General features: G+C 47.1%; 1 long non-coding RNA gene across 3 annotated transcripts in view; it reads right to left on the bottom strand.

The window, feature by feature from the left end:
• Window positions 1-22,255, bottom strand: part of LINC02641 (long intergenic non-protein coding RNA 2641) — a 214,291-nt gene extending 192,036 nt beyond the window's left edge. The window contains exons 1-6 of one of the 3 annotated variants that reach the window (XR_007062326.1): window positions 17,318-22,255; window positions 14,793-14,856; window positions 11,570-14,316; window positions 9,676-9,894; window positions 9,159-9,270; window positions 8,031-8,859 (exon numbers count right to left, since the gene is read on the bottom strand). This is a non-coding gene — a long non-coding RNA (long intergenic non-protein coding RNA 2641). Of the gene's footprint in view, window positions 1-8,030; window positions 8,860-9,158; window positions 9,271-9,675; window positions 9,895-11,569; window positions 16,997-17,317 lie in introns of those variants that run through there. The other 2 variants (XR_002957104.1, XR_002957105.1) reach the window with 2 other exon arrangements.
• Window positions 22,256-22,803: the final 548 nt, after the last annotated feature.

The raw sequence follows: 22,803 nt of genomic DNA, 5'->3' as shown, positions 1-22,803 counted from the left end.
TGCCTGTCTTCACAAGTACTTCCCCTCTTCTCCCCCTGTGTCTCTTCTAAGGATACTTATCTTTAGATTTAGGGCCCACCTGGATAATCCAGGGTGATCTCATCTTCAAAAACCCATTTCCACATAAGTCACATCCACAGGTTCCAAGGGTTAAGACATGGACACATCTTTTGAGGGCCACCATTTAACCAGCGACACTGGCAAACAGCCACTTTTTTAGTGGCCTTAACTTCCTTTTTACCTTGTATTGAACTGTAACATGTATTCTGTAAAGAGCCCCTCTCACAGATGTTTGACATTCTCACAAACACAGCACACCCATGCAACCAGCACCCAGATCATGAAACAGATCTTTACCACCCCTGGAAACTCCCTCATGTCCTCATCTGTAAAATGGAGATGATAATAGTAGTTGCCCTGGTGGGACTGTCATGAGAATACCATGAGATAAAGGTTGTGAAAAGCTCAGCCCTGTGCCAAGCTCATAGTGAGCACTCAAAAAAAAAAAAAAAAAAGTATTATTCCCACCCACCCCCAGAATAGATTATAGAGCAGTGGTCTTCCTCGGGATATCAAGGGTGCAGACAGAGTTAAGCAGGAGAAAACATTTGCACATCTTCAGATGAAGCCTTGAAGAAGAGCAGAATGACCCCACCCCCAGCTTCTGGCTGGTTGCAGACAAACAAAAGGACTGACGTAACCAGGAGAGCTACAATTTTCACACCTGGATCAGGCGCATCACCTATGGAGGTACCAGGAAAGTAGATTGAGTTTATGTTGCAAATAGAAAATGATGACACTAATTATCTTCCATTGTAGTGGCTGGGGATAGTTCCTGGAGCACTTTGCCTTCCATTATCTTGTTTGATCACACTATAAAAGGGAAAAGACTTCCATCTCAGGTATTCACGGCTGTATTCTAGATTCGAGACGAGACCACCTCCCCTCCCCATCACTGAGCTGTTTTTGTTGTTTTTTTGGTTTGGGGGGTTTTTTTTGTTTGTTTGTTTGTTTTTTCAGAAAAGGGACAGACTCATTCAGGAGGCATTGCTTATTCAGAGTGAAGTCTTCCCACGCTGCAGTGACTAAGGTTGAGAGCCCCACACTGCAGAAAAAGGGTCACTTGGAAATTGCTGTGTCCTTGTAATGTCTGCTGGGACAGCACAGGCGATGTCAACAGAGGGCTGGCCAGGCCCCTCTCACTGCGGACTCCTATGATTAGATGGTTTCACCTCCTCAGAGTTCCAGAGGATCCCGGCCATTATGAATAGAGCCCCTGAGTTATTGGGATAAGACTAAGAACTGGGATATAATGGCACCGAAATATCACACAAATCACCCTAGCCTGACATAAAACCATTTCCCCACCAAGTAGATAGAATGTTCTACCAGGTTCTATCGGCAGCAGAGAAATCACCACTTCAAAATACCTAAATGGGGTGTCCCCCATCTTGGGTTTTGTTTTGGCATTTGAGAGTCCCCCTCTTTATCAGGAGAGAGATTTTCCTTAAAATTTTTTTCTTCAATATATATCCCTTTTTTTCCATTACAACTGGAAAAAAAAAGGTCATGAGCGTCCTCTGATGGGGGCATAAATATTGCATTCTAGAGGTGGAATGGTTTGCCTCCCACTTTGTAGAATCCCCTTGGGTAAAATCTCACCCAGAGCTGCTGCAGCCTGGCTCTTTTTACACGCTTGTTTGCAAAAAAGCTCCCAAGGAGTAATGCCGGCCTTTTCATTTCAAATGCTGCAGCCATTCCTACGGTGTGCTGGGCCCACCACACGGCAGGAGTGCCTAGGAGGACCTCTGTACCAACACCATCCTCAAGTCTGTGGGAAATCCATGAAATTTAGATCTTTTGCTATTGGAAGGAACAAAATATTTACCAATATATAAAGAACTTTCAAAGAGGGGCTTACCATACACACAGTTCTGAAGAAGTGCAATATGGTTTTCCATCCAGGAGATTTTTCTTTCTTTCTTTCTTTTTTTTTTTTTTTTGAGCCAGGTTCTTGTTCGGTTGCCCAGACTGGAGTGCAATGGCACGATCTCAGGTCACTGCAACCTCTGCCTCCCAGGTTCAACGGACTCTCATGCCTCAGCTTCCTGAGTAGCTGGGATTACAGATGTGTGCCACGTCCTGCTAGTTTTTGTATTTTTAGTAAAGACGGGGTTTCGCCATGTTGGCCAGGCTGGTCTCGACTCCTGACCTCAAGTGATCCACCCGCCTCGGCCTCCCAAAATGTTGGGATTACAGGCGTGAGCCACCGCTCCCGGCCTAGTTTTCAGGCAAGACATTTTTAAATGGCAGCCTCCTTCATTATTCCTTCTCCTCTCTCACTCTAATTTCCAACTGTCTACACAGACTCAAGGAACAGCTCTTGTGGAAGGATCTTCAGCAGGCCTCTCAGCCCTGATGGAACCTGCCTGCCTATTACCTTCAGTATGCTAAATGGTGCTGTTTCATTTTGTTCATTTATAGGGCTACTCTTTTATCTGAGGCATGTTTATTAACTGGTAGCTGTTAATTATATAAGAAGATAATTTCATGTAAATGTTGGATTTAAAAGCAGCCTATCTAGCGTGCTTACTGTTTAACAAGAAGGCTTTGGGATTTGTTTTTTTGTTGTTCCTATGTGAGTAAGGCAATTAATTGATTCGGTTGATTGAATGAAAAATGCATCGTAATTGCTTTACCCCATCAAGCAGCTACTAGAATTATCCAATGCTGGCAGAGGGACAACAGCCTCTATGATACACCATCTCTCTGTTTACTGCCCTAATAAGGCATGGGAGCTGGGGCCTTTGGTTAACAAAGGGACACTCAGATGGGGTCCTGGTGGTTCTTTCTCTAAGAGCAGAGAGAACATCCCCAGTGACTTGGACTATTCAGGACCAGAAAGAAAAAAGAAAAAACAATCCACTTTTGTCTGGATTATGCAGACAATTGCCAACCCGTTCCTTTGGTTCTGCTTTGCTGGCCTGGTGAAGTCCAGAGTGTCAGGGCTGACTGCTTCCTGGGCACTGGGCTTTGTATCTTCATGGAGATGGCTCATTTCATGAGGACATGATGTTCTCTGCACAGCAGAAAGATGTGGGGGCTCCCAGGTATGTCTTCTAAGAGGTTTCCAAGAAAGATTCAGAGTGGAGATGAGGCGGGTCTTGCTTGGACCCATCTACACATGCAAAGACAACATATCTGATTAATCCTTAAGTCCCAGGTGCCCAACATGAGTGCCTGGCACATCACACAGGCTCAGCTTGAAATGGAGTGAACAAAAAACACCAGCTTGGACCCTCCGGTGCCAGAGCTGCAGGTTACATTTAGGGCAGACCATGTTCCCCAGCCTGCCCCAAGTCCCGATTCCAGGCACATTCAAAGATTGAACTCTGACCTTACTTCCACAAGGCTTCATCTGACACTGAGAACCAACACCACTGGTCCCTGCTGAGGGCACCCACTGGATGTCAGGTGCAATGCACCTGCTTTAAAATGTCTCAAATGCATGAATTTATATTTGACAATAACTTCACAAGGAAGCTCTTGTTATCCCCATTTGCAGGAGGAGAAACTAAGGTTCAATGAAGCTGAGCCTCATGGGTTTGCCACTGAACACATGGGTAGGAGAGCTGACATTTGAACCTAGTTCTCCGTGCCCCAAAGGCCAAGCCCTTTCCATATAAATTGTGCAGTACAGCCTCAGGCACATGGAAAGTGCCCTTTATTGCTTGTTGTTGTGGTTGTTGTCTTGTAGTTGTTATCATTGTATGTCCATGATGCTAATTGCCTCCGTTCAACCTACACTTTCATCTAAGATGAGTCTCTCCAGCCCTCAGTTGCTCACATTCCACATCAGGTTTCTGGTTTCCAGGTAGACCCCAAGGTTGCCCCCATCTCCTTTTCCCTTTTATTACAGGCTTTTGAGTTGACTGATTCAGATCCACTCCTGAGAGCAGTTACAGAATGGCGTTGGGGGTATTATACTGGGACTTCTTCCTCAACCCTAATGACCTTTCTGGTCTCTACAGCTAGAAATCCCAAGGAAACATTCAAATAATTGCTGTAGGATGGCCCCGAGGAATCACACACAAGCACAGGCATACCTGGAAGTATCATATTGAGGAATACTGACCCCAAAATTAGAAAAAAAGAGAAAAAGCATCATTTAGTGCACTGTGTAGTTTTCCCAGTTTGAACAATAATGCACCATTGTATGGTGATATCTGCTGATTTTTATGTACAGGAGAACAAAACCACAACACTGTTCCACTGCTTTGCCATAACTTGGTCCACAACAGCAAACAACCACAAAAAGTCAAAATTCACTTTAAGTAAATTAACACAGGCTGGCCTTGAATTTTTTTCTCAGCTGCCAATATGAATTATTTAGAGTTTCTAGAATTAGAGGGCATTTCCAATGCCTGTGGTAATGACCTTCCAGATGAACGTCCATCAAAGTTGGAGACATTTGGCCAACTGGGTGCTGTAATAGTGGCCATACGTCACCAAGGCCCCGCTCTCCTGGGGACTACTATGATGTTTGTTAGAATTAGATGAGAATGCTCTGGTGCAGTCCCTTTTAGGCCTGGCTGTTTGCCTGTCCCAGCCAATGTTTTACTGTTACTGCCAGAGACTTGCACCACCTTTGCTGAGAGGCAAGGGCCTTGCCAGCAAGGCCCCTCCTTGTTAGACGGGCATGTCTGTTTCTGCAGCACATTGGCAAGAGAGAAGGTGAAGGTGATGGGAAAACCCTGGTGGGCTCCAGTTTCGAGGTCAGGCAGTAACCGTGTTACCCCAATGTCCCTGCGTCTCCGCCACTAATGTAGTGGCTTGAACCACATTACTATTATGCAATATTAATGAATTGTAGAGGTTCTCATGATGAAATGTTTGGGGAAACACTGCATTTTCTGTCCTCCTCTTGAAGACTCACACTGTACCTTAGCATTGTAAAGGCTCTGAGAAGGCCTGCAGTAAAGAAACCTACTAAACAGCTTCATTTGACTCATCTTTTCCCACTGCCTCCACTGCCAAACATTTCCCAAAAAAAAATCTTTTAAATCACACAAAACTAGTGTATCCCACTGTCCCCATCTGGGGAAGGCTGGCTGGATGGCAGCCTTGGTCCTTCCCAGCACGGGCATTCAAGATGTTGGGAGCACCACGGTGGGCCCCTTCTGAAGGTGTCTTATAATGTTGCTCAACTAAAAGGCATTTTCTGTTTTCTAGAGATTTTCTGAGTATTAGAGCTCCTTTTTTCTCAAGTGATCACAACCTTCCTCAAACTACCTTGCAAATAAAGGCAATTTATTAGGCTATGAGGATTACTGGGTGAGCCCAAAATGAAAAATGAGCTGGCCAGCTTCCCCAGTTCTCTGTCTGTACAACCTTCCCAGTAGGCCCCACCTCTTTGAACACTTAGCCAATCCAAGGAAAAAGAAAAATTCCCAAGAGAGACACTGTACTTGCAGTTGATGTGGCCAGTCTGTGCTCATGCCCATTTGAATTTGAAAAGTTAATGATCTATACTTCAAGTTGATGAGGTAGGCCACAATAGCTACACTTTCAAAAACTGTGTGTGTAACAAGACCTTCTGTACTCTTGATCTGGATGATCTATCTGATCACACCAAACCAACACCATTTCAGCCCCTGACTTTTATCATAAGTAACATTTTTTATTTGTGAGTGATCCCTTAGCACCAGGAAATGTAGGCTGGCACTAGGGATTTAGAAATACTAAAATTATTCCTGTCCTCTTCCTTATCCCTCCCCCCAACCCCATTTAACCTCCTTGGTTTTCTAAATATCTGAGAACTCCAGGCCAGGAGCCACTCTCTCAGGCCTGGGTGGTGTCCAGGACAGAAAGGCAGCCATGCATCCAGACCCTACACCAGCCCTTGTCACACTTAGAGCTCATTTCTTGCTCTCTTGCTCTTTCCCCTACCACCTGGGAGCCCCTTGAAGGCAGGAACTCTCACAGAAGGCCTGGTATTCAGTAGGTGCTCAGAAAATACCTTTGTGAGGGTTATTTAGGCTTCATCCCCTACACATGTAATATATACACAGGCCTTACCCTGTAATGGGGCTGAATCTCTGTGGGAGGTGGAGGTATCCATGACTGTGACAATAGATCCTACCTGCCTGCAGGTGACCCAGGCAGGATGGCATTTCTTTCTACTCTTGCTAGGAAGATGGCACCATGACATGGAGAGGATCTCCGCCCTGGCAGCAGGGAGTGTGTGGAACACTATCTCCTCCCTTCTGTGTGGTCAAGGATAATTGTTTTCAAATCGCCACCGAGATCAACGTCTGGTCACTGGGAAAGCCACACTGCCCATCCACCAAAATGGCGCCATTGCTCATAACAGTCACACAGAGAATCTCATTTTAGAAAACGGGTCTCTAAAGCCATTCACTGAAGCATTATGCACTGTAATTCCCCAGATAGAAATTTTCACAACTCAGGCCTAACTATATAATTAAATAATTAGCATACGTATCTTACAGGTTTTTAAAAGGCTTGCTCTGTTAGAAGCTCTAGAATGTTAATCCCACGCTCTAGCCCTCAGCCAGTAAAAGGCGCATTGCTGCGTCAATCGGGTGGCAGTTTGTTTTCACACCTCTGGCTCAATTACCCTTTAATTGAAAATTTCCTCAAGAAATGGAGCTGAGAGGCCATGGGGGCTCTCCCAGAGGCGCTATGATGTAAGCTGCTGTGGAGCAGAGGCAAAAAGATACCCAGGCGCAGGGAAGGACTGGCCTTACTTCTTCCCCAGCTGGGCCTTTTCCTAGGCCCAAGGAGCCTGGGAAAGGCACGGATATCCAAAAGCTGCAAAGAACCTTCCGAAGGCACAGATGGCCAGGTTCAGAGAGTCTGGGAACAGGCAAGTTCATCTCAAAACCTTGACCCCAGAAAAAAAGAGGCAGATGTTTCTTACAAGGATGGGGCTGAAGGGAAGAAGAAATTGCCATCCTTTGCCTAATTCCTCAATTGCACCACAATCCTTCCTACCTCAGGGTCTTCCCACATTTTGTTATCTTTTCCTGGAATGTTCTCCCCCTATAGCCCCTTCACGGGCCCACCTTCAGATCCCAACTCACATGTCACTTCCTTGGGGAAGCCTGCCTGGACACCTCCACCACCCACCAACCCAAGCCTTTGTGATCTATTATCACCCAGCCCCTTGATTGCCCCTCTTGTCCTTCTGATTAGATGCAAAAATGTTTCTAATTCCATGGTTATTTTTATCAGCATCTAGCTCCACTGTGGAAGGGTGAGCCAGTGGATCTCCACTCATTATTACACCCCCATGTCCAGCACACCACCCCACTCAATACTTGCTGCATGAATGAAATTGATAAATTAGGGGTCAGCTGAGCCAGTCTGGATTGGGTGGGCTGACCAATTCCCTCTCTTGCTTTAATGAGTGCTTTATGACTTTCTTGCCCATTCGCAAAGTAGCCCATGGCGATCCACAGGACAGGCATGTGAGAGGAGAAGAGGGACATGCCAGGCCCCAGAGTCCCCACAGCAAATATGAATGCTGAAAATGGCCAAGGGCACTTTCTGTTGAAGGATGGGTTGGGGCCTTAACACAGCGCCACCCAGGCCTCTTACAACCAAATTCTCCTCAAGGCCATTTATGAGTTCATTGCCTGGATCTTCATTACTGATGTGCTGTGTGCCAGACTGCTCTAGGTGTTAGGAAAACAGCCATGAATGAGCCAGACCAAAAGCCCTGCCCTCATGGAGACTGCATTCTAGAGAGAAGAGACAGAAGGTAGAACATACAGTGCACCAGTTGGTGATAACTTCACAGAGAAAAAGAAGACATGGGTGGCAGGGAGGGTTGCTATTGAGCTGACAACTGAGCAAAGACTGGAGAAGAGTAAGGGACCAAGCACTGCAGGCACTGGGGACAGCAAGGGCCATTTCCTCACCCTATTCACCCAGGGACAATGAAAGAACAGAGTCATGACCACCTGGTACCCAAGCTCCCTCTGGGACACAAGTGATATACTTACAGCCAGGTCATTGGGTGAGGCCAAAAGGATGTTGTGCCCATGCTGCCCAAGAGTTCAGAGGCTCGTGTACCCACAGTCCATCTGCTCCAGGGCGCATGGGCTGTTTGCTGGCTGGTGACTCAGTGGAGCCCTCAGGAGGGGAGCAGAGGAGGTGGGAGCAGCACTGACCCAGCATCTGTTTCCCTGGCTTTCCCCAAACATTGGGCTCAGCATCTTGGAGGGAAGCTTCCAAACCCAAGGAGTGCATTGCCAAAAGACGCTTAAACAGAAGAAAACGAGAAACAGCCAATATGTTCAAACCATCTAGAACTACACGTAAAAGACATCAGCCCAAACTAAGCCAGCTAGGGACATGCACAACAACCTTAGGGAAGCTGCTGAGCTATGGCTAGACCCTCCCTCCCAACCCTGATCAACCAGCCTCCCAGGTTTGTGAGCATTTGAACTGGGAGCCCACAGACAAGCCATTTCTCAGTGGTTTGGAACAGTTTGTTGTACCTTGATGACTGGTTTCTGTTATGATGCATCAGATCAGCAGTGTCATTGATCAGAAATGTTCATTTCTGTGTTTTTCAAATCTCTGATTGTTAAACTCACCAAATTTATGTTTGAAGATGGCTCCCTCCACCAGTCCTGATTTTGTGTGGATACAAGAGCTGCTGCTCCAGCCTAGAGCCCGGGGTTTGCCCATCTCTCACCAAAATCCAGTCGGAGATGAAAGTGTCGTCCATCTACTTTCTGACCAGGATGCAGAGACAAGCATTCTAAGTCAGCGTGTTCTCTCGTCTCCCAGAATCAGGGCCTTGCTACGGTCCTTGGGCTCTTCTTCCTGGAACGAGGGTCACAGACATACGTCAAGAAGGTCAAGGAGTCTGGATGCCTCCCTTTCTGGTGCTCGCCTGCCAGTCAGCCTTGCCCTTGCCTGGCTACCTGCCCCCTGACCCACTGCTCACCCTGTCCTTGAAGCTCTTCTTGACTCATATGTTTGTGTGTAAACTTCCTGGGCTGCAGACCTGGCCTGAATGCTCAAGCTTTGCTTAGAACTTGGAGCCTGGGACCAGCCCTCCTAACAGCCCTGCCAAGTGGTACCCAGAGGCATCCCAAACTGTGTGTGTAAAGCCTGTTCACCTTGCCTTCTGGAACACAGCCTCTCCTGTCATCCATGAATCTTCCATGGCAGACCTCTCTGCCATCTGCCTCTCCTAATTCTCCTCTCTGCTTTACACTAACCAAGTAGTTACTAAAAGAAAAACAACAGCAACAACAACAACCATAGCAAAACCCCAAACTCCAAAGAAGCATATTATTCATGTTTCTTTTTAATATTCACTTTTTAATTTTAAGCTTTACATAGATATTAACTTCATTTTCCATCGACCTTCATTTTCCATTGACTTCCTGGGGATATGAATATGAAGGTTTTTTCCACCTACAAATGACATGTTTCTATTAAGCTATATTGGGGAAAGTATCATTTTACATGTGGTCCTAAATCCATTCCCCTTGTTAATTGGTTTAACATAATTTTGCAAATTCTAATCTTTTAGTTAAAAGAAAAAATCATTAATGCCTGTGGGAACCAGATTGCCACAATCATTGCCCACACTCAGAATTTCCCAGAGACTCCCAGCCTCAGCAGTATTACCAAGTCATGCCTCCTGATCACCATCTTCATCTTGCAATTCTTGGCATGTGAGTTGTAAGCAACAGTGATGGCTGTGGAAGGTATGGCTGCACCTCGGTGATCCAAAATTTTCCCAGACTCACACTCTTCCTCAGGATTAAAACACCTTTTTGATTTTGTATCTTGGAGACAGACAGAAACAAATTTTCCCGAAGCAGGAGTTGGATGATAAAGGAATGCCTAAAGGCGGATGCCAGGTGGAAAGTCATGGCATATAGTAAGTGCTCAACCAATTGTGCTGAGACAATTATGACTAAGAGTAGAACAACTCTGATGGTAACAGTAGTAAAACAGGCACGAATCCTCAGAGAGGCGAGGAGGTAGTGACTTATCTCTGTGAGTCTAGGTGAGGGTCACTTGGCATTGCCCGTCTGTCTCGGTGACAGGCTGGCTGCACCGGGTGCTGGGTCCACTGTGTAGGAAGCCACTAAGGAACATTCTGCAGGGACAACCCACTGACCCAGTTCTTGGGCTCAACTCCTAGGAAGATCAGACTCGATAGATATAAGAGATGCTCAATTTTTCTACAGTTCTAGAGAATGGGAAAGAGAACCCCCATGCAAGCAAGGATGCATAACCTAACACTGGGAGCAGATACCATTTCCTGTGAGCCTCAGTCACAACCACCCAATATCAGCAAGCTATGTTATCACCAACCCAGAAAAGGGGAAGTTACTTGCCAGAAGTAGTAGGAGGCTGGGGTTCAAACTCAAGGTCCTACATTCCTTTCACTGTGCAGCATACAAATAGGGTGCTTTTTTGTTTTTGTTTTTGTTTTTTTTTTGAGACAGAGTCTCACTCTGCTGCCCAGGCACGATCTCAGCTCACTGCAACCTCTGCCCTCTGGGAGATTTCAAGCTATTCTCCTGCCTCAGCTTCCGGAATAGCTGGGACTACAGGAGCATGCCACCACACCTGGCTAATTTTTGTATTTTTGGTAGAGACGGGGTTTCACCATGTTGCCCAGGTGGGACTTGAACTCCTGACCTCAAGTGATCCACCTGCCTCAGCCTCTCAAAGTGCTGGGATTACAGGCTTGAGCCACCGCACCTGGCCTAGGGGGCTTTTCAAACTGGGTTTTTTCTTGCTATTTGATGGGTGTTTTTAACAGAATGAGGATCAGACTAACTCAGTCCAGGTGGTGGGAATAATAATGGAGTCATCCTGTGGCCATTCAGACAGCAGCTGGAGGCCCATGTGCTCTGGCAGCCAGTTGGTGATGAGTGCCCAGGAGAATCAGAGAGCAGGAGCCAGAATTGAAAGAAGCGGGCTAGAGACAGTATGAAGCACGGTAAGCGATCAGATTGACAGTAGCTGGCAGCTTCAGCAATGACCCAAGGTCAGCAGAAGTGAGTAGGAGAGTCTGGAAATGCTTTCACGTGAGCAGTATTCAGCAGGGCCTGCCTGCGCTCAAAAGTGTGACTCCAGGGACCCATTCTTCCCACAGGAAGCCAGCTCTTGGTACCACCATAGCCTGGATCTAACAATGACTTAGCAAGTAGCTGAGACCATAGGGAACAGGGACCCTGTCCACAGCCTCCACTTCCGTTGATTCCATATCTCCAGCCCAAAGGTTCCTTGAAACCCCAGAGGCTAAAGGGGCCTTGAGCCACAAGCCCAACCTTCTTCCTGGATGGCCCGGGGGATTGTTTCTGCTGCTGTCGTTTCTGCTCATGGATGCGGGCCTCCCACTGAAGTCTCCACTAGCGGTCCCCATACACAGAAAGAAAAAGAAAGGCCCAGGGCTCACCCAACACCCAAAAGTGTTGCCAGTCCCTGACTCAGCCTCCTCAAGCCCCCCAGGGAAGCAAACCGAGCCCCACAGCCTCCTGTTTCTCAACCCCAACTCCCATACCTTGCCATCCATCTCAAGGCACAGAGCTCCTCAGCCTTGCGTTTCCAGTAGAACAGGCCCAGCGTGCCTGCAGCCGCACACCCCCACATGTTATTCTTGCCTTTATCTTGTTAGCATAATGCTCAGCTTCATTAGCCAGCCAGATGAATCATTTAGTAATTGGAGCTAATGAATTTAATTTTCTACTTTCTATTTTTTTAATAATAAAACAAAGTCATATTTTACCAACAGGTCAGGGAAGGCTCCAAGTTGCTGTTTTGAGTCAACGTTAGGCCAAGAGTACAAAACGGCAGACGGGGAAGGAGTTGGCTCCCTTTTGCTGATGTCACCGCCTTTTCTGGAGTTTCTCGGTTAAGGAACCCCATGGAAGCATTATCCCAAAGTTCTACGGAGAATGATACTAAGGGCCCGCATGAAAAATTGATGTTGCCATGGTGGCAGCATTCCTAATAGGACAGTATGAAGAGTAGGAGGCACTCACAGAAAATAAACAATGCACAGAGTTATCAAGGAAACACCCTGATATCAATTAGATGAAGAGCTATAAGGAATCTATTTATCTTGGAGAGATTTCACTCCAAGGGTCCCAGTACCCCTCAGTCAGGTGAATTGGATGGATAACATACACCTTCCTTCTCACTCCCCGTTACAGAAGACGCGAAACCCAACAGTGAACCCGTACCTGAAATGTCAACGTGGGAAGCCAGGCTAATTAGAGTGGGGCCAACCCGCCCAACCGCATAGCTGACATGCACCCGCTGAAGCCTTCTTGTAACTTGACTACCCGAAGCCTCATCCCTGATTAACAGAGCCTAGCTGCAAACTAAAATGCAGTTAATTTATTGTAAGTTTTATTAGGCATATAAAAGGGAAGCAGGAATGACTAGCCTTTCGTTGCTCGAGATACATTTCATCCATGACACGGAGCAGATTCCTCATAGATTAAGCTTGTTAATTTCCCTCCCCGCCAACATTCTTCTCCGCATTGCTGAAGCAAAAGCCACAGGCTCTTGTCTGAAATGGATGGGATGAAAAGGGCTGGGGGCCCCCCGGACAACAGTTACATTAACCACTTTGTCCTTTTAATTCATCTAATTACATGCAAGGAGAAAGCTGCCGCCTTAGCAGGCTCGCTCTGCGCCAGAGCGCGATGCCGCTGGGCCATTGCTTTGGGCTTTTTGTTGTCTTATTAGGGGTGCTTTTGTTCAGAGGGATGGTTAAAGCCATTTTCAGCAGCTAGCAAGATGAAGCCGCTTCAATAAGGACACAATGTACTTGTTTAAATTACCTTTCAAAATGCTCAAAACCATTAAGGGGGAGGGGCTGCAAAGAAAAGTTGGATTTTTTTTATAATGTTTTACCCTAATAACAGCTTTTATTTTATTATAATCCATTAGTTGACAATATTATTCTATAGATTATTAGGCAGCAATTTTGCTATTTTATCACACTTTCAGCACTCACTCACCGGGCCAGAATCCACAAATCTCAGTATAATATGCTTTCAATTTTGTTAAAATCTCTATTTAACTGGTTTGGCTGCGGAACATCTTGGCAAATGTGTTTTTAATTTCGTTCTAATTAACTTGACAGTTGACAGAACTCGATGGTGGCATGATGGTGTCCCCTTTTCCAGGGTCCCTGCAAGCTCCATGCCTAGGGTCCATTTTTTTTTTTTCCTCTCCCATCCTAACAAGGAAGATGTCAGAGCTAACATCCAGGAAAAGGGTCTTTCGTCTCTGTCAAAAGTACATGCAATTTTTTAAAAACCAATTAAAAAATCTGGCTTTCATCTTTATCTGTAAAAAGAAGGTCGTTGGTTCTGTGGGGTTCTCAAAAAATGGCTTGTCCTACGGATGTGGGTCCTGAAAGATGAAATGAAGACAAAGCAAGTGGGAGGGAGGGTTTTTTTTGTTGCCCAAGAGGACGCCAGCTCTTTCCCAAAGAGATACTGTGAAAGAGTGGCCATCCTCCCTCTCTGTCACCGGTACTCGGTGGGGAAAGAGACTTCAGTTCTCTGCTTTTGGGGATCAGCCTGAGAAGAGCAGCATTCAGAGAACTTACCCTTGTTCTTTAAACAGTTCCAAATTATCTCTATTGTCTGGGGAATTTCACTCTGGCAACCATTCTCCAGGTGCCCTCTCTGTCTTTGCTTCCAAAATCCTGCAGCATCCCAGAATCCAGCCTTCTCTCTGACCCTGAGCAAGCAGAGATACAAGCAGGCCTAGATCACACCACAACTAAGACAAATAAGTCATGCCTTCCTGACGTGGAGGTGAAACAAGTCTCTGTAAAACAAATCTAATCTTCCCTCTGGTTTTCCTTATATGGAGATGGGCCTCCAGGGGACTGTGTGGAAACCGTTAGCTGACTTGAGACCAGGTCCTGGAGTGACTTCACAACCCGCAGTGAATTTGGGGCATCCATTCTTGCACCTTTTTTGCACTGTTGCCCTCCCCGCCCCCACTCTCTCTCTTTCCCTCCCTACCTTTCTCACATGTTGTGAATTTGCCCATCACTGGAAATTCCCTGATTCCACATTTGTACCACTCATTACGCTTCTGTTCAATTATTAAGAATGTCAGTCCTTCCAGGACCCTCAGAGATGAATCACTATAACATCTTCCTCACATTAATGACAAAAAATCTCACTGCTCAAGGGACTTGACTCACCAAGACACTGGCCAGCAAGAAGCAGCAGCCTAGGACTGGATCCAGGTCTTCCGACTCCCAGTCCATGCCCTTTCCTGAGATTTCCATTGGAAAAGTTCTAGGTTTTGTCAAAACATACACATGCACACACACATATGGTCTTTTTTCTAGTCTTCAAGTCTGAATTTTGAATTTTCATTTTTATTTTTTATTTACAACGAGAATGCTGCTACAGAATTATCAGGGCTATTAGAGTAAAACAAATTGTTTGGTGTTCATGTTTTAAAAAGGTACTATGTTTTTAGCCCCAAGCAAACAAAATACAGATGTCTAGACCAATAATTTTCAAACAGGAGGTATTTTGCTCCCCAGAGGACATTTGGTAATGTCTGGGGACATTTTTGGTTGTCAAGACTGCAGCTAGGGGTGTGCTACTGGCATCTAGTTGGTAGAGGCCAGAGATGCTCTTAACCACCCTATAAAGTGTAAGACCCCCACGCAACCACCACAAAGAACTATCTAGCCTCAAATGCCAGTACAGCCCAGTGGACAAGCCCTGCCCTCTCCTTACCTGGGAGTCAGATTCAGGTTCAGGGAGCTTATACCTCACTCAGGGAGAAGAGAAGATGGTGAACCTGCAAGGAGAATGGGTGGAGCCAAGTCCAGATGACCCACGAGTGGTGACAAAAGCAGGATTGAACCCACATCACACCGACAGTGCTCATTCTTGTTTGTCCTGCCTGGAGAGCAATTATACTTTTAATAACTGTGCAATCCCTTGGGTCTGTTTCCCTTTCTATTCAACGGCGTTATCATGGGGTAATGAAGAGAAGGCCCATGTGAAGCGCCTAGCTGGTGCCTGGCACACAGTAGGCCATCGACACATTGGAGAGGGAGGAGGAATACAGTGCTGCTGTCTTGTGCTTTGGCTGGGATGGGGAGGGCATGCGTCTCCTGCTCTGGCATCTTTTTTATAAAACAGCAATATGTCTGCTCGAAAAAGTGTGCACACTAATGAACATTTGCTTGGTAGGGAGAAGCGGAGAGGGGGCGTGGAACTAGAGGAACGAGAAAAGGATGATGTCCTTTGTGGGACATGACCCACCTCCTCTTCCAATACTCCCCATAACCCAAAAAGGCACCTATAAAGGCTTTGATCAGAACCAGCTCATAAACACAAGATGAGATCTGCTCCCAGCTGGCTCTAGTCCATCCTGTAGCCCTGAGCAATGACTCTGCTCAAACAGGTTAGAGCCATTTAGGAAACACAAGCCCGAGCTTCCTTACCAAGTCTCACGTGGTGACGGCTGTTGCTAGGTGTAGGAAGCCAGCAATATCTGAAACCATGCTTTCTGGCCAGAATATTAATTTGCACCAGTAAGTATTTGCTGTGCTCATTCCCAGCACCCCTCCCCACTCAACGTACTTGCATAACATCCATATCCTCATGCAGGGGCTGGGAGTAGCAGTGCAAGAGTCATCTCAGAGGGATGGCCCATTGATAAAAAAACTTCTTTTTCAAGTTAATTGCCAAAGAGAAGTAAAATGTTCTTCCAATACTTCGTCTCCAAAACTGTTCTGGCTTGTGAACATCTGTCAAGAATATATATTTCCAGGGCTCCAAATTGCCCAGATTTTAACATCCAGCTTAGTTAAGCCACTAGAGTTTAACTAACATGCTGCTCCTTATAGAATCAGCACTAGGATAAAAAGGAGTTTGATTTCTTCCCCGAATGCATTTCGTTTCTTTTGGATGGTCATACAGCATAGGTGTGTTTCTCGCCTCTCCGTGGCCTCACATGAGGAAGGAGGGGCCTTACTCACCAACACCACGGGTAAGTAATCCATTCAAGACCGCTCTCCGTCGGGCCTCCATTTTACCAGCCCAAAATTAAGTTTTACCAGGACATTGTAGCGGGGCGTGTGTTTGACCATTGAGCACCATGTGTGGCCATTAGAAAGAAAAGGAAAATCAATAGGGTTTCATTAAAACAGCAGGCAATCAGGGCCCAGGCCTGGTTTAATTACAGTTTCAGTAGCATTTGCTTTAATTGGAAAGAATAAAAGAAGTGAAGTGGAGTGGATGAAGAAATTAGCATATCTATCACTGTTGTCACATTGTACCGTGGCCTTAAAACACTGTTCACTCTTTGCTATCTCTGAAGCTGCGCTGAACCCTGGAAAAAAAATATGGCAGGGCAGTCAGCAAATCCTCAGCCTCCGCCTTTGTGAAATTCTAATTAAAGTCTTTTATAATCCTTGGAAGTCATTTTTTAAAATCTGCTAGATATGCTAGATACACTTTGCAACATGTCTGTTAATTACTCCTGCTTGGCACGATGTGAGGAGAACTGCAATCACCTTGTGCTGTCTGAACATTGAGGCTGTTCTGAGAGCCAGCTCTGGCAGCCCACGAAAGCCCTTAGGATCCTGCTCAGATAGGGGGCCCCAAGGGCAGTTTCCACCAGCCGGAATTCTTTCCACTTGATCAGGCTTCCGAACAATCACAGACTCAAAAAATATCAGACGGTCTTTAGGCACCAAGTAGACCAAACGCCACCCTCATTTTACAGATGGGAAAACTGAGGCCCAAGGTCCCCAGACTAAGAAAGGGTAGAGCAAGGACTTTTTCCCAGGTTTGTTTCTTGGCCAATTCCAGTCTACTGTCTACTATCCCATAATAGTTTATCTGATGACATCTCAGGAAAACCCTTTCTGTTGAAAGAAAATATTGAGGTGGTCAGGCACAGTGGCTCACACCTGTAATCCCAGCACTTTGGGAGGCCGAGGCGGGCGGATCACTTGAGGTCAGGAGTTAGAGACTAGCCTGACCAACACGGTAAAGCCCCATCTCTACTAAAAATACAAAAAAAAAAAACTAGTCTGGCATGGTGGTGCACGCCTGTAATCCTAGCTACTCAGGAGGCTGACGTGGGAACATCACTTGAACCCAGGAGGTGGAGGTTGCAGTGAGCTAAGATTGCACCACTGCACTCCAGCCTGGGTGACAGAGTGAGACTTCATTCCAAAAATATATATATATATATAGACATAAGGGATTGAATTTTTACTCACTAAAACGCAAACATTTCTTACCAGATAACATTTCATAATGAATACACTCCTCCTTTTGGAATGGTTAATGGGTTAAAATCCATCCATGATTAGGAATTTGCTTAAGATATGGCCAGGGAAAGGTTTTCAAGTTCACGTCTACTGAGGAAGGAACAGCAGATACTGGAGGCAGAGCCGACCTTCTCACTGACTTGGATTCTGGAAAGGAATGTCAAACGCCTAATCATTCCCATGAATTGCATGGAGGTCACAAGGACAGCTAATAATAAGAACTTCTATTTTATGAGAGCCTATTCTGTGCTATGTCCTCGTGTGGAGGTTCTATCATCCCCAGTTTAAAGAATGAAAGACTGAGGTTATTTGCCTGTGGTCAGATAAGCCATATACTGGGATTTAAACTTCAGTTTTGTTCCAGTGGGCTTCTTCCACCAGGCTACGAGGCCCTCCCAAGGCAAAAGACCAACCCCAGTGTAGAAAAAGGCAGGAGGTCTGGGTATCCCACTCTGGAGCTGGTTCTCTGCCTAGCAAATGCCTGGCCAGAGGGAGGCCCAGGCAGGCAGCCTGGCCAGTGTGGCCCCACGCCCAGGCAGGTCCTCCTGAAAATTTACCCAGACCAGGTGCTTCCTCCCAGACTGCTAAGGCCAGCACTGCTCCTCTAGGAAAAGCCCCCAGAACAGCAGCTCATTGTGCAAGTAAGGAGCAGGCGCAGCGTGGCGAGGGTACAGGGTGGCCTCCGAGGTCAGGAGGATGTGGCCAGGGGACAACAGGGAGACCTCCATGCAGAAAATTACAGAGAGGAAACGATCCATTGTCTCCTCGCAAAGTGGTCATCGGGAAGTGCGTGATTGGCTTCTCACTGGAGCGTGGCGGGCCCTGTCCTGGGTCAGTCCTCAGAGCCACCTTGCCCTGCAGCAGGAGGCAGCGGGAGGTGGCACACAGCGGGGGTCCGACAGTGGGCGAGTGCTGCGCGCAGGATGTGTTCTCACTCCTCCTCAAACCCGTGTTTCCCAGTGAGGGGGCCGAAGGTGTGTTTCACACAAGTGAAACCACTCAGATAAATGGGTGGTCAGGGACTGACTGGAAGGGAGGCCTTCCAGGCACCTGGGCCGGGTTTGGGCCGGGTTTGGGCCGGGTTTGGGCCTGGTTCCAGGCCCAGTTCCTGGAGTGCGTGGGAAGTGCTCTCTACCTCCTCTGCTCTCAGCATCAGAAACGTGTGGGGATGATTTTGAGCACTTGCTCCTGGCCAAACGGTAGGCATATTGCTGCCTCCAAAATCCATTGTGGGAGGAGCCCAAGGGTAGCATGCCACTCCCACAAAATGATCAGAAGGCTGTTCCCCAGGCCTAGTGGAGCCACCACTGGCCTGGAAGCTGGCAACCTGGTGAGGACCATGGGGGCCCAGCTCATGCGGGCTGAAGAGAAATACCAGATGCAGCCCCAGCCTCCCGAGAGGACCCCACAGCCTCCTGGAGATGAGAAGCCCACTTGAGAGGTGTGCGGCTGGAGGAGACAGAGAGTACAGCATTCCCAGTGACTGCACGCCCCAAGGCACACCCCAGCCCCTGTCCTCTTTTGTTTTCTGGACTCTTCAAGATGGGAAGAAGGCCTAGTCTAGCTTTGCAGGACCTCGTGCAAACCACCCCTGCCCTGGGCCTCAGTTTGTTTGTCTGAATAATGTGTCCTCACCACTCCCACCCCCAGCCATCCTCTGTCGCTGTGACCCGAGGCATGTATTAGTCTTGTGATCTCGGTAGCCAGTGTTCAGACCCAAGAGGGCCTCAAATAAGGAAGGAAGTGAAATTCACTCCAAAGGCACAGAAGACCAGCACAGAAGCCCAGCGTAGGGAGCATGCAGAAACGGGGTCCATCCTAAAAAAGGCAAGCACCCCAACCCCACGAGGGGCCTTCCAGAGCCAAGAGTCATCCCAAAAGTGTGGCTGCAGTGAATGGAGCTCATCCCTGCGGAGCCCCGATCTGGGCAGGGCATTGCTCTAACTCCCTAACGTGCATGAACCATCGGCTCCACACAGTCTTCCCGAGCTGTCGTAGGCAGCAGGCATCACTTTGATTCTCTCTCTGCAGATGAGACTACCGAAGCATGAGGGGAAGAACTGGCCAAGCTCCCACGGCAGGTAAGCGGCCTGGCGGAATGCTCTGTATCTCTGTCCCTCTCCTGTAGCCTCTGCACCGCCTTCCTCCTCCCAGCCAGCATGGGGCTTCAGCATCCAGGCCTAGGAATCAGCTGGCACCCTGGTGGGAAAAACTGAAAGTGGAGGAGCTGAAGGGTGGGAGCTTGAGGCACAGAAACACAACGCTTTTTGTCCTTTATTCCAAGGTTCAACTCTGTTTTTCCTAGGAGAGCACAGGCCCCGATGCCCTCTGGAAAGGCTTAGAGTTCAGTGGCTCAGCCCACAGGCTTTGGATTCAGTTGACAGCTTGAGTTCAAATCCCTGTCCTACTGCCTCCAAGCCACAAGATCACAGGCAAGTGGGTCCTCTGTGCTGGCTCACGGGTTCCTCCTCCACAAGGTGGGTTAACAATGGTGTCCACTTTATGGAGTTTCTGCTGAATTTCATGACAGAATCCACATGTGGCACTCACGATGCAGCCATTGAGACTCAGGCCACTGAGTCAGACTTGGGTCCCCTGGGGTAGCATCCATAGTGCCTGGGATGGGAAAGAGTTCGCAGTGGGACAAAAGAAACTTTGAATTCCCCATTGGGGGCCAGCGTCAGTGTCCTGGCCCTGCCGCTGCATGACATGGGCAAGCCCCTTCCTCCAAAGGCCCTTTGGATGTTGGCTTAGCATTTTCAAAAGGCCAGGTGGAGCTTATCAATGACAGGGGCAGGGGATTGGAGAATCACTGGAGACAGGCTCAAGGAAGAGCCCTCTCACGTTCAGCTGCTTCTTATCCTGTTCATACTCTGCTTCTAAAGTCCTAATGAACCCACTGCCTGGGGCTGTATTGTGGTCTTGCCGGCGAGAGGTGGAGGGTCTTGGAGAGGACCCATCTCAGAGCAACTAAAATGCAGCCGCCATCATTAACTAGGACAAACATAACCCTGTGCATGGCATGGCCTGGGCGCACATTCACTGGGGCAGTAATTAGAGGGGAAATATCCTACAGGCAGCTTAGCTGCGGAAAACCATTTTCATTGAAAATATACATTTGTAATTGTAAATGGAAAGATTACCTGTAATAGCAGTAACAGACCCATTTCCTAATAAGATGAACACTATAGCTGATGACTGAAGCATCTGTATATAGCTACGTACACCATTTCTGTACTGCAGGCTGCCAATTTGTTTCAGCGGCGAAAAGCGTGATTTAGTGTTTGTAGCATTACCATCTGTTGTCGTTATTACAGAAATTATATATAAACCAGTTAGTAAACACTTTGCCGCATTGTCTGTTGTTTTGATAATCACCCATAATAACATCTAGCATCAATATGGTCTTTAAACCCGATTTGGGAGTTAATGGAATAAGAGGAGGCAGTCTGTATATGCACCGGGGTAATGTCATTAGGAATGTTTGTGAAGAACAAATTAAATCAGTTGTAAATTGTGCTCTCAAGTCAGCCAGAAAACCAGTCTTGTTCAGGAGAAGGGATTTATATTTTAACCTCGTGCAGAAAATGCACTTACGCAGATTAAAATAAAATAGGGACTTTGCCGATGGATGGAAGTGGTAATTGCTAGGGCCTTAATGGTTTCCTGTTGGCTGTGTCATGCAGTGGGCACAGCTATTTTAAAAGTTAACCGGCACTCGGGGTCATACTTTCACTGATTCAGTCATTAAACCAGGCTAGACATGTCACTAAATGGCTGATTATTCAAATGACAGGCCTGCTCCACGGTTCCCTGGTGTCGTCTATTGAACATGAGGATTTTCAGGGATGGTTCTCATAAAATCAAGATGAGTTGGATTCAAGTACGAGTCAATGGTAGCGCTGGGCTGGGGCCTGGCCCATCTGAGACAGCAGAGGGAGGCCCCGCCTGCTTTCTCAGACAGGCGGGGACAGGCATGCAGCCCTGGTGGCTAAGCCTTGGTGCTTGGATGTTTCCAGAGGTCAGGGAAAGGCCGATTTGTGGATGTGTTCAAAGGGAAGCCATGTTTAGACAAAGAAGTGCCATGATGGGAGGAAGCAGACAAAGAAGGTGGGTGGAAATTCATAATTCCATCCTAAGACTGTCATCAACATCACCACAGATCCAATTCCATAGCCAGGAGGTGGTGGAGCAGCAGTTGGACCCCAGGTCTGCCTCCACAGCCTCTCCTCCTTCCTGGGGCTCCTCCTCTTACTTCGAGCCTTCCTCTTGTATCTCCTCATGATACCTCTTGCAGACAGATTGCATTAGTACCCCCATTTTCAGGTAAGCAGACTGAGGCTTGTGTGAGTGAGATCATATGGCCAGCCAGAGGCCCAGGCTGGATAAGATCACAGGTCTCTGTGGGGCTGGAAATCTTCCCACAGCACTGTTGCACAGGCGGGACCAAAAGAAAATGAACATTTACCTAGGCACTCAGAAGTCAAGAGCATCCCTGTATGGAGTGGCAAATGGCAAGGTGGCGGGGGTGGCAGGAAGGATACTAAGACCAGCTCTAGAGTCAGCCTGGTGACTAGGGAGCTGATCTAGCAGCCGTGGAAGCTGACTTTGGGGCAAGCTGGGGAGGAGATGGGAGGGAGTCTTTTAACAAGTGGTTACTCCCAGCACAGAGACAAATGGAAACTGGAAATGGTCCCCAAGCCCACAGGAAGGGCTTGACTGTCCAAAGGACCCACCTGATGCCAAGCCTCCAGCCACATTTAGCTGGGACAAAGCACAGAGCAGTGTCTCTGAAGAGCAACATTGATGACTCACCGGCTTTTAAGATGATATCCGAGAGTGCACATAACGATCTCCTTTTTACTTTGTTTTGATATTTATCAGTAAAAATATAAATAGCACATCAAATTCATAGTTCAAAATAAATTTGATTTTAAAGGAAATCTTTTTAAAAGGAATCTAAGTATTTAGGTTGGTGCAAAAGTAATTGTGGTTTTTGCCATTTAAAAGTAATACAAATAGTGAGTTCATTTTAAAATATTTAGTAGGCAATAGAACAGATGCTATATAGACAGGGCAACAATCATAAAGAGAATGACTGAAGTTTGGGTTTCGGAGTCAAGATTACCTTGGTTCAAATCAACTAGTGTTTTGGGGTCAGTCTTCATCTCTCTGAGTTTATTTTCTTGTGCACAACATGAAGCTGAAGCAGCCTCCACACAGGGCTGGTGAGGACAGTAAATGGGCCACCAGATACCTGCAGCACTAGAAGTCCTCACCAAGGGGGGCCAGTCCCCAAAACGAAAGGACAGGGAGTTCTTCCTCCCAGGGAGTAATGAGATAACAGCTTGTCTCGAGAGCCTACGTTCAGGGCATATTCCATCAACAATTGCAGAACTGGAACATACCAGGAAGCAAAAGCCCTCCAGGTCCCACCATCCTGAGGCCAATTAATG

This window comes from Homo sapiens, chromosome 10 (assembly GCF_000001405.40).
Source record: "Homo sapiens chromosome 10, GRCh38.p14 Primary Assembly".
NCBI classification, from domain to species: domain Eukaryota; kingdom Metazoa; phylum Chordata; class Mammalia; order Primates; family Hominidae; genus Homo; species Homo sapiens.
The sequence above is the reverse complement of the archived record's forward strand: the minus strand, read 5'-3'. Positions and strand labels throughout refer to the sequence as shown.